The following is a 12,435-nucleotide window of genomic DNA, read 5'->3' as shown; positions in this document are numbered from 1 at the left end:
TTGTTGAACATGTGGAGGCACTGGGATGGTGGTGAGGCGGAGAACTCATGAAAGCCCCTCACCTCTTCCCACATACCTTGCCCTGTGTTTCTCTTCACCTGGCTGTTCATCTACATCCTTTGCCATATCCTTTGCCATAAACTGGTGAATGAGAGTTGTTTCCCTGAGTTCTGTGAGCCATTCTAGCAAATGATCAAACCTGAGGGTGGGGGGTATAGGAACCTCCCATTTATAGCTGGTCAGTCAGAAGTTCCAGAGGCCTGGACTTACAATTGGCCTCTGAAATGGGGGGCAGTCTTGTGGGACTGAGCCCTTAATCTGTGCCATTTGACTCCAACCCCAAGTAACATAGTGTCAGAATTGAGTTAAATTGTAGCACACCCAGCTGTTGGAGAATTGGTCAGTGGGAGAAAACACCCCACACATTTTGGTGACCAGAAATCTTGTGAAAGCACAGCAGAGGAAAATATTTTCCCCCCATTACATTCATATAACCAGAAGGGCATTTGATACAGTCTTACTTTATACAGATCTCTACACAGAGGGGAAAAACTCCTGGACACTATGAAAGGGAGAAACATGATGATGAGTAGTTTTTCTCAAAGTGGCCCTTAGAAGAGAGGAAGAAGATGGGAATGGAGCCTGAAGCAAAATGAAGTGACTGCCCAGCTGGGGCAAGGCCAGCCTCTTACCGTAGTGCGGGATGATGGCCCAGGCCATGGCAGAGGCGTAGATGCCACCGATCATCCAGAACATGCAGAGCCAGCTCAAGTGTTCGCCCCGCTTTTCCCGGGCCAGGACTTCAGCAAAGTACGAGAACACAGTGGGTATGGCTCCTCCAATCCTGCCAAGAGGTACAGAGAATACATGAAATCAGGGTGTGGACAGCTCATGTGAGACGCAAAGGGCAGAGCCAAAGCAAACTCTAACAACACATGCTTTCTCCCTATCCCAGCATATCAACAAACATATATTTTCTATTATTTTACAATGTAAAAATTATAGTCTCTGTATTTAATATAGGTTTATTATGCCTCCAAAAAGTTGAACCTGCAATTAAGCTATGTTACCAAGAGGTGGCAGTGGTGTTTGTCTCAGGTGGTTGATAGAGCTTAACATGAGATTCCGTTGGCTTTTCAGCTCATGGTTGTGTTTTGTGTGATATTTATCAAAACTTACATTGATTTCCTATAATCTAGTGAATATTTTAATTAACTTGTTTTTAAAAACTGATGCTGTGCCATGTCCCATTCCTGATGTGGGGACTTTGGAAACAGCTTCAAACACCTCTAGGGTACTGTCTGCAATCTGTATTTACTCACTGCTACCCCACAGCAGCACTAAATTAGGTTAATGTGTTGACAAACATTAGTTGAAATGACTCACGGGGTCATTTCCAAGATTAGCTCTAGTCCCAATCCAGTAGATATTACTGCTAAATAAGTAAACATGAAAGGGACACTTGTAGAATAAAATAAGGAGCTGGTGGTTTAGATATCAATAGAATGGAATATAATGCTTCCTTTCAGTAGGAGCTAGTTATACAAGCTGCTGACTGAGCTCTGGGGAGATGACAGAAACAGTGACCTCTACCCAGGGTAAGGGTGCTCAAATGAGGGTTTATGGAATCAAAATAGTGCTCATTTTTAGGAGATGGGCCATAGATTTCATCAGAATTTCAAATAGGTCTTGGCCCTAAAACTTTAGGAACCACTGCCTCAAAAAGCAAGGTAGTAAAGAAAAATATTACTATCACTCCAAGCAATATGTGAATTTTAAAGTATTTGTTTAAAAAGACACACAACATAAGTACATTGTCGAGATGACACAAAATCTAATAGAGTTAGGAAGTGTGCACTGATTCATTTTTGTTCAGATTTCTGTAAGGTAAATTGCTATTGACATTTCATGCAAATTTGATGTCAAGGACTAAAGCATGTTTATTTATTTAGCAATAACTGATTTTCTTAGAGCCTTTGATATGATAAAGAAGTATTGGCAGTGTTCTTAACAAATGCAATTTAGGGAAAGGTCATTTTGGCAGCAAACTAGTGTACCAAATAAACCACGGGATTTACAATGTCATCCTGCATCAACTGGTAGGTGAAAATATGGCACCATTTCATGTATTTGCCTCTGTTTAAAGTGATGCCATAGTTACGCATCAGTGGACATGGGAAGACCACTTAGGCTGGTGCTTTTCAATCTATGGGTTGCAAAATTTAGTTTAGTAGCTATAAACGGTAAAGAGCATTTTAAAAAATGAGATAGTGATAAAAATATTTAAGTGCAACCTAAGTAATAAGGATAAGCATAAGTATCATTTCATGAAATTTGTGTTATAAATGTATTTGTAATGTATAATATACATATATAAAATATATAATGGGTCACAGTGTGTTTCTTAGTGGGAGTTCCTGTTCAAAGAGTTTAAAATTCACAAACTTTAGGCATCTATATCAGTTTCTCTGGGCTATGACAGCAGTGGTTCTACCTAAAATTCTTAGAGGTGTGACTCAACCTGTCTTCAGATTTAGCACCATCACACACAGAGGCAGCCAACCAAGTCCAAGTCCATAACCAAACCCTCAAACAAGAAACAAATGCATGTGGTGGGGGCTCAGAGCTGGCTCTATACTGCACCGTATTAGACTCATACAATTCTCTTGCCTGGGCTTCTTGAGGAGCTCATACAATGGATAGCTAGTTGAATTTTATTTTATTTTATTTTTATTTTTTGATGGAATGCAGATAGTAAAATTGAAAGACATCATTTAATTAATCTTCTGTGCCATGAGACTCCACCAGGCTGTCTACAAAGACCACTGGGAGGCTGAAGATCACTTGAATCCAGGAGTTTGAGGCTGTAGTGAGCCTTAAAGGGCCACTGCACTCCAGCCTGGGTGACAGAGTGAGGCCCTTTCAAGGGGTAAGCTGCATGCTTGCTTGCTATCTGTGATCATTAAAAGCCCTGAAAACAAATATCACATATTAACCATGACAAAAAACAAATGTGTGATGCTTATTGGTATAGTAAGCTAGTTGAATTTTAAAACTCAACAATATTTTGAACAGATTATAAGTGGTTTCATTATAACACACAATCCTAGTATGAAATAAAATATCTGTGTCACAAATAATTTAATACTACTCCTTTTCTTCATTTGATGTGAAGAATCCGTTTCTCTGCACCATAAAATCCCAGCTTAACTTCTCAATGCATAAAAATAGTCCTAGTTTTTACTGACTTTTCACTTCCTCATTAATGTTTCATCAGGACTCTGGACATCCTCTTAATAGCTATAACTTAAGCTTCATGAAGGCACTATTGTATGTCAGGATATGCCAGACCCTCTGGACCAAGATAAAGGTACTTCGGTGTGGCTATAATTTCTTTCTTTCTTTTTTTTTTTTGCAGTGTGGCTATAATTTCAAGTGGAAGACTGTAGATTTGCCTGTTAGTTTTCAACAAATCATTGTTACATAAGAAAACACCAACTTGTAGGGGCTTCTAGGCAATCTGGCTGGTTTTTATTCAATGCCTCTTTTGCACGTGGTTATTTTTTCTGGATGTCTCTCAATACTTGTTTGTAAAGCAGGCTGCAAGGAAGTGCTAAGGAATACTAAGGGATAAGTGAGTCTGAAGAATTAGAGAAGGCTTCTATTTAAATCCTTTGCAAAGTTATTTAGACTCAGCGATATATAAAACAATCCAAGCATTCACATTTCTTATTGTGGGCTGATGATATATTTTGGGGAAAAAATTACTCCTTGTCCTACTGTGATGTCCTTTAAACAGAGAAGAAACTATTACTATTACTAGTGTTTCACACCCCATAAACCCCTTGAAGGTAGGGACTTTATCATATTCATTCTTGAGTCCCCATTAACTGGCCCAGTGGACATGTGCTAAGTGTTTACGCAAAAGAACTGAATTTCCCAGACTCTTCAATGTTGTAGTTGGCATACCAAGTCTCCTGGAGTAATCTGTTCTCATGATTTAAAGATCTCCAGTGAATAGAAAGATACACCTCACTTTCTGAACCAATATGACCATAATAGAAGTTGAGGGTGCTAGACTGAAAGTTTTGACAGCAATGGAGCCCCCAAAGGGTTCCTGAGTTGCTCTATGCCTTAGTTGCTGTGGTCACCCCTTGACCAAATGACCTGACGGTCCTTGTTGTGGAGAGAGCTCCCTTGGAACTGCTCAGGGGACACTGGGCAATCCCACTGGGCATTCCAGGAGCTTCTATAACACCTGTGAGCATTTCAGAAAAAGGTTGCAGATGCTATAATGATCATCAGAAAAATGTTTAGGGAAGAGATAAAGCAAGGGCTTTCAGGTCTTACAACATAATTTGGTTCCTCTGGTAAGTTTTGAAGATAAGAAAAATCTGCCACTCCCCAACCCCCAAATCTTATAAATTAAAAAGAAGTTTCCCATTATGATTCTACCTCAATATTGCATGTGAGGGGTTAAAAATTTCCTTATTTGTTGTTTTTTGTTTGTTTATTACACTAAGATACAATTTCTGAAAATATATGAAGAAATTAAAAAAATGTAAATGAAAGTCCTTAAATTCCCATGTATCAGTAGGTCTTAAATAGAGCTGATTTTGCTCCTCTTTGCTCCCTGAAGATATCTGGCAATGTCTGGAGACCTTTAGGTTGTCATACCTTGGGGGCTGCTGCTGACATCTAGAGGGTAGAGGCCAGAGACGCTGCTAAACACCCTACAACTCACAGAACAGCTCCTTACAAAAAAGAACTATCCAGTCCAAAATATTAATAGCGCTAGGGTTGGGAAAGTTTTGCAGTGGGGGGCTAATGTGGAAAATATAATTGGTTTTATATAAAAGTCCATAATATAAGACACAAATATCTTTTACATTAACTGATGGGCAACACATCCTTAAATCCAGTTTACGTGGAGACCTTAGTGTTCGTTATAGAATGATCAGTTAGCTACTGTTGAAATCTGTTCAAGTTCATTTTTTTCAAGTTATATTTAATGGAACATTTACATAAATGAAGCAATGAGATCAGAGTGGCTTATAAAGAATTTTTCTCAGTATTGGATATTAAGTCTATTTTATTAGCTGTCAAAAATGTCAAATCTTAATTATCCTTGGTAATAAGAGGCACAGAAGGAATAATAATAGAAATTCACACTCTACGTAGGTGTGAGATTAGCCAGATTCAAAATAACTTAATTTATACAAATGAAATAGAATGTTAATATTTGGAATTTCAGAGTTGGAGTTATTCCTTAAGAAATATTAGTGCTAGGTTTTTGCAACTTTAATTATACAAATATAAAGAAACTAAAACATTCTGTATTAAACACATTTCTAGAATGAATCAGAATCTCCCCAATGCACAGGCAAGCAGACACAGACACACACACACATACACACACACACACACACACGCACAACACCTCAATAGGTCTGCACATGACTCAATACTAGGCATCTGGTAAATATCATGAAATATATTCATTTATTTTCCCCAATAATCTAAGGCAAATTCACAAGTGGCATATTGTGCAAGGCAAAGAATGTGTTAGCATTACAGACCAAATTTCTCCTCTGCTGGGAAATGTGAGGCACACAAGTTAAACCAGTTTAGCACAACAGGATGACAGAGTATGCCAAGTCTTCCTGTATGCACAAACCTCATTGGGAAACTGGGAAGCCTGACTGTGAATTTCACAGCCACGCCTCGTCTTACTCCAGTTCAGCTGGCAACCCAGTGGGGATTATGTTTGTTGCTGTGCTTCATCACACTGATGTACGCTGTTTCAGGCAAAGGTGGGGAGGGGTTTAGGTTTCTTCAATGAAAGAGGGAGGTTATAGATAAAAAGAGTAATTGTACTTAAAATGGCTTGAAGCATGGCATTTTAGAGAGAAATTATGGAATGTTTGATGATTCTTTGTCTTGAGAAGGGATTCTACTGAGTAATTCTATTCTGCTTTAATTTTCTAGCTAGTATGTAACAAAGAATAATTCATTCTAACTTATTTCACCATATAATTGTCAAGCAGCCCTTTACCTCAATCTTCCATTTCCCATTTCCACTGGAAGATGGGACATTCTGCAAGAACATAATTAAGGAGAAAGTTGAATAATCATTGTAAAGTCACATGTTCAATACAAATAATAAACAGAGGGCAGAGTCTACCAAGAGCTGACTCTGGCAGCTTTTATAAGACAAGTATTATAGGATTATAAAAAGATTAGTGAATGGTCTGGCCTATGTCAGGAATCACAATTACAAATAACTTGCATGAAAAATATTCTTTTAATTCTTACTCGGAATCAACAAAAAGGAGAGAAGACACTGAACTGTCAGGCAAATTGCAAAGCAATTCAGAGCCAATTTATTATGTTATAAATTGGACCCAGAAATAAGGGATTAGAGCAGCAGTCCAAAGATGAACCTTTCAGTCTCTTCCACTTTATGAAAGTAAATAGAGTATCACAGACCTTGGGGAGATTGCTCAGAGGCTTAGATGAAAGAGCACACACCTAACACTCTTTCTGAATAGGCTAGGTTGGCACAGAAAATAAGGTTGCTATATAGATCAGAAGGCACATGTTTGCTATCAGTGATAAAGATAGAAATGGGAGAAAAACACATACTGGTAACCTAACTCATCATCAAATCAAGAACAAGAATTTCCTTTGCCCAGTGGCAATGCCAAAGGATGGATGATTTGGGTAGCTTTAGTCTTCAATTTCCAAAGCCACAATTTGAAAAATAATATTCTTCGATATATGAAGTTGTCATTTTCTAAATATTATGTAAACTATGAATAGAATAATGAGTAGAAAATTTGGTTATTTAAAAAATATTGATCTTTAAGTATATAATTTGTGGGGAAAACTGCATTGCCAAGAAAACAGCTGCAATTCAACTCCCTTAGCCCTGGTTTGCTATCAGATTGGTGGCCTAACCCCCTAAAACTGTGGAGGTCTATGCATCCACAGTAGCAGACTTAGTACCACTGAGGGAAGTGGGGTAGTCATGGATCAAGACTTTAATACTGTCTTGAAAAAAAATTAGCTATTGATAGAGTTGGAAGAATGCCTTCCCATAGCATCTAAAGGTGCCATGAATAAAGATGGTGATGATCATTATGATGTTCTATAATTAATGATAGAACATGCAGATGTATCTAGCCTCTTGCTGTATACATTTCCTCATCCATTCCTGCACTCATCCTCCCACCCACCCTTCATTTACCCATTATCCACCCATTATCCCTCTATCCACCCCCTCACCCAATCAAACTCTGGGCCAGGCACATCACCAGTTGTTGGAGGTGCAGGCATGAAGCACACAAATTCCTGCTGTGGGCTCCAGAGAGTGAATTCTAAAGAGTGCATATGGCTAATTTTTCACAATTATACACTGTGGGTCTGGAAGATCTTTTGTTCTGTTCCTTCTCCTTTGTGATCAATAGTACCTTTGCTAAAGGGTATACTGGGAAACAAAATGTGTCCAAAAGGTCAGCCTTTTTGTTGGAAAGTAAAAAGCATTGCCTAAGACAGTGCTTTCCAATAGAAAATGTGAGCCACGTATGTAATTTTAAATTTTTCCAGAAGAGACATTAAAACAAAACAATCACGTAAAGTTAATTTTAATATATAGTCATTTAACCCAATATATGTAAAATATTATTTTAACGTGTAATCAATGTAAAATTATTGAGATATTTTGCATTCTTTTATATGTTCTAGGTCTTTGAAATCCACTGCTATGTATTTTATACCTACAACACATCTCAACTTGGACTAGTCACATTTCAAGTGCTTGGTAGCTACATGAAGCTAGTGGTTACCATGTTGGACAACGCAGCTCTAAGAAAACACTGACACACTGTTTACAATTTGGGTTTTATATTATTTTTGGATTAAAGATAATCTTGACTGTTGCCTCATTTTACATATTGGGGAAGGTCTTTCCCTTCTGATGCTCTGGGGCCAGAGATATTTTTGGACTGATCTGTTCAAACACGTATGAGCACATATCATGTATACGTTGTGCCATATGAAATCAGAGACATTTCTGGTTGAGTCTGAAGCACAGCACAGCCTGATGGTTATGAGCATGGGCCCTGGAGCCAGACTGCCTGGGTATGAAACCTGATTACATTACTTATTGTGTGACCTCAGATAGGAACTTAACCTCTCTGTACTTCAACTTCCTCATTTATGACATACAGTTAAGATATATGAATAATGAATAGCATCTTTCTCATCGGGTCACTGATGAGAGTCAATATTTACTAATATAAAGTGCTGAACACAGCATCTCTCACGCGGCAAGCACTATAGAGGTGTTTGATAAAATACATTTTAAAAGTCTTAAACAATTTTAAATGACTGCATTTTTCCAATATGATTATTTTAAGAAAAAGACTACTTTGAAGGGAAAAACCTCATAGCTCAGAATCAGACCAAAATTCAGAAGACTGGGTGTCTGTTGAATATTTGGAAGCAATAATCAATCCGTGCCTCAATTTTCTTTTTCTTTCTTTTTTTTTTTTTTTTTTTTTGAGATGGAGTCTCGCTCTGTCGCCCAGGCTGGAGTGCAGTGGCGCGAGCTCAGCTCACTGCAAGCTCCGCCTCCCAGGTTCGCCATTCTCCTGCCTCAGCCTCCCGAGTGGCTGGGACTACAGGCGCCTGCCACCACGCCTGGCTAATTTTTTGTATTTTTAGTAGAGACGGGGTTTCACCATGTTAGCCAGGATGGTCTCGATCTCCTGACCTCGTGATCCGCCCACCTCAGCCTCCCAAAGTGCTGGGATTACAGGCATGAGCCACCGTACCCGGCCTCTGTGCCTCAATTTTCTAATAAAAAAGGCACACAATTTTTACATGACAAATTATTTAAAACAATTGTGGAAATAAATGGGATGCTACATATAAAGCATTCTGAATAATTCCAGTTAATGGTGATGATTTCTACAAAGCCAAGGTATTCTTACTATAACTCAATACAGCTAATGAATGAATATTGCAAATAGCTATGAAGTACACATTTGGTAGGCTCTATTCACAGAGGAAGAAATTACTATTCTTTCATTTACGATATACAGACACGTTGAAATTTCATTTTAATTTCTGTTGCTATTATATTTTTCTCCTGACCTTCCTGCTTAGCAGTGCCAGGCCCTCAGTGAGAAGCTCCCGACTCTGATATTGCCTAGCATCCAAAGTACTATCATTCCCATAATTAACAGTGACTGGCTACAAATAATTTAATTCTGGGTCAAATGAAAATGAATCAATGGTGCCAACTCCATTTCCCATCTTTCTAATTTTCTATAACAAAAGAGGGGAGGAAAGTGTCTGTTTCTTGGTGTGAGATTCGTTTAGGAAAGTGATAGACAGATGAGTAATTGGTGATGTCCTAGTCCTCCTTCCCACACAACGCTGTTGTCCCCAGGCAGGAAAATCATTCATTGTACCGAATAAACATTTAAAGTCATATACAATATGTCAGCTGGACATATTTGTGTTTCTAAGAAGATATGCTCATGACTTGGTTTGATGAATTAAGAGGAAAGCACATTTGGAGACAATAAAAATATAAACCCAAGTAGATCTCAGTTTAAAACAAGAGCTTGGCCAGGTGCAGCAGCTCATGCCTGCAATCCCAGCACTTTGGAAAGCCAAGGCTAGGAGGATTACTTGAATCCAGGAGTTTGAAACCAGCCTTGGCAACATAGGGAGACCTTGTTTGTACAAAACATTTTTAAAAGTTAGCTGGGTGTGGTGGCATGCATCTGTGGTCCCAGCTACTCAGGATGCTGAGGTAGGAGGATCACTTGAGCCCAGGAGGTCAAGGCTGCAGTGAGCCATGATCGCACCACTGCATTCCAGCCTGGGTGACAGAGTGAGATCCCATCTCAAAAAACAAAATAAAACAAAAAATAAAATAAAAAAGAACTCCTTCCAGTCCCCTTTATTTGCAGAGACAGTGCTGCTAATGATGCTTCAGCAATGAAATAAGACACAGCAACTGGAAATCTGTAGCATTTTTGATAAAATCAACACACAGACAGGTAAACCTTGGATTCAGAATGTACATTTTACTTATTTACAGAGTTGCAAGTTTAAAATGACTTTAATTGCAATTTAAGTCCTAGCTGAGTTATTCCTGGTTCCACCACTGCACCTCAATCTGCAAAATGAAAAGTTTGGACTCTCTGAACTAGAACTTCTCTTTGTTCTAAAATTCCTAGTAAATGGAGCTGATGGACAGGCCCTGTACCAATTAAATGTGGGGATTCTGTACCAATGTGGGAATTCTGCCAGCTGCTGAGTAGGTCTGTTCCAATTATGCAGTCCAGAACTGTGGAATCAGGCACGGGATGGATTCAGTGCCTGACTCACTGGGCCCACTGTGAAACAGACCTGAGCTAAAACACCATTGATTACCTGCCTTCCATAAGCCCCTGCTCTGACTGGTTGACCACAGTGACATTTTGTGTCTCCTGGAATTAGTGTCAGTTTAGAGCCAGTGTCCACAAGCCCTGAGAAGACTGATTATTTCCTTTCTCCCATGCACACTCATCCTGGTAAAAGGCCTTCAGTCCCTTTGGGGAAGCTGGGAGAAAGACTAACAGTATAAATATTTAGCTGGGTACAAAGATCCTTCTTCAAGGAGGCCCAGCCTCCCCTTCATTCAGTTGGTTCTGGGTCTGTAAAGCAGCTCCAGTCTGGGAATGATGGAGGGGACATGACTCAAGTTAGATTTTCATTCACTAGTCATATAAGTTTTCTACTTATACAGATCAAGTAAGAATTGAGTAGGCTTCCTATCTATTTCACTTCATGATTAACTAGCCAATGACACAGATGGCTGCAAGTCAGACTATGCTGGTTGCTGCTTGAACTCCACTGTCTTTTACAATACCCATGCCCACTCTGCCATGGGCGATTAAGCAATGTTGAACAAGACGACAGTCCCAGCCCTTTGGAATTTACATGCTGGTGGAGGAGAGAAAGAAGAACATAAGAAGTAAATATTTTCAGGCATCAGTTGTAAGTGCTGCCAAGGAGACAAAACAGGAAACTCTCTGAGACCCACTGGGTGTGTGGTCTCAGGAAACGCCTCTGGGAAGCTGTGAGTGGGAGGGCCCTGGGAGAAGAAGCTTCAAAGCAGAAAGGATGGCAAGTACTGTACTCCTAGGAAATGCGTGGAGTGCGGGGGCCTATGTGCACCAGAGGCCCACAAAAGAAACATTCCCAACATTTTGGAATGTTATTTCACGTAGTTTTTCTCAATTTAAAAACTGGACCAGATATGGTTGGAGGGAGTTGTTTAAGTAGATAAAACATGGTCTTTTATTTAAGGTCTCTAGGATGAGAATCTTAATTCTCTGGCTTAAGTTTTAATAAAGAAAGTTTAAATAAAAAAAAGAATATATAAAACTTCAGCTGCTTCTGTACTGAGTTAATAAGTAATAGGAATGAAGGGTTTAAATACGATATGCCTTTGAAAACAAGAGGATCATTGAAATAGAAATTTTCTTATTCCAATGTTATTATTGTTTTCTCCCTCCTCTTTGAGATTCCCAAGCCCCTTGTGCCCTCTTTTCAGGCTCTAATTCCTGGAAGGTGGGAACTGGAAGAGCTGCCTGTCTGTACAGACTGTAAGCAACTTGAGGTGAGGGCTCAGCTATATCCATGAAAGTCCTTGCATGGTTCCAGTGAGTAGAGTAGGTGTTACAATGTTTTTTGAGTTGAATTGGAATGGAATTGGAGAAAAAGAGACTTTGATGAGACTCCTCAGAGATTCAGAAACAGAGTTCCCAGATAAACTCTAGACTGTTGAGAAAAACCCTGGGCCATGAAGGTAGCATTTCACAAAGCAAGCAAAAGTAAAATAGCCCATAAACTTTGGTGAAGAAGAAAAATATTGCAATGGTCAATTTTACATGTTAACTTGACTGGATTAAGGGATACCTAGACAGCTGGTGTCTTAGTCCATTTTTGTTGCTATAAAGGAATACCTGAGGTGGGGCAGTTTATAAAGAAAAGGGGTTTATTTGGCCATGGTTCTGTTGGCTGGAAGACTGGGCATCTGGTGATGGCCTCAGGATGCTTCCACTCAGGAGAGAGGGCAAAGGGGAGCTGGCATGTGCAGAGAACACACAGTGAGAGAGGAAGCAAAAGAGAGGGCTGGGGGGTGCCAGGCCTATTTTTAAACAACCAGCTCTCATGAGAACTAATAGAGCAATAACTCACTCACATTAATCTATTCATGATAGATCCACCTCCAAGACCTAAAAACCTCCCATCAGGCCCCACCTCCAACACCGGGGATCAAATTTCAACGTAAGATTTGGAAAGGTCAAAAATCCAAACTATAGCAGCTAGTAAAGCATTATTTCTGGGTGCGTCTGTGAGGGTGTTTCT

General features: G+C 39.4%; 1 protein-coding gene across 5 annotated transcripts in view; it reads right to left on the bottom strand.

Annotated features, from left to right (window-relative positions):
* The window catches only part of SV2C (synaptic vesicle glycoprotein 2C), a 506,476-nt gene that overhangs the window by 143,360 nt on the left and 350,681 nt on the right, over window positions 1-12,435 (bottom strand). For all 5 annotated transcript variants that reach the window (XM_011543282.4, NM_001297716.2, NM_014979.4 and 2 more), the window contains exon 4: window positions 693-844. In XM_011543282.4, coding sequence (XP_011541584.2) covers window positions 693-844 — 152 coding nt within the window. The remainder of the gene's footprint in view (window positions 1-692; window positions 845-12,435) is intronic.

The sequence above is a fragment of the Homo sapiens genome, chromosome 5, assembly GCF_000001405.40.
Source record: "Homo sapiens chromosome 5, GRCh38.p14 Primary Assembly".
NCBI classification, from domain to species: Eukaryota; Metazoa; Chordata; class Mammalia; order Primates; family Hominidae; genus Homo; species Homo sapiens.
The sequence above is the reverse complement of the archived record's forward strand: the minus strand, read 5'-3'. Positions and strand labels throughout refer to the sequence as shown.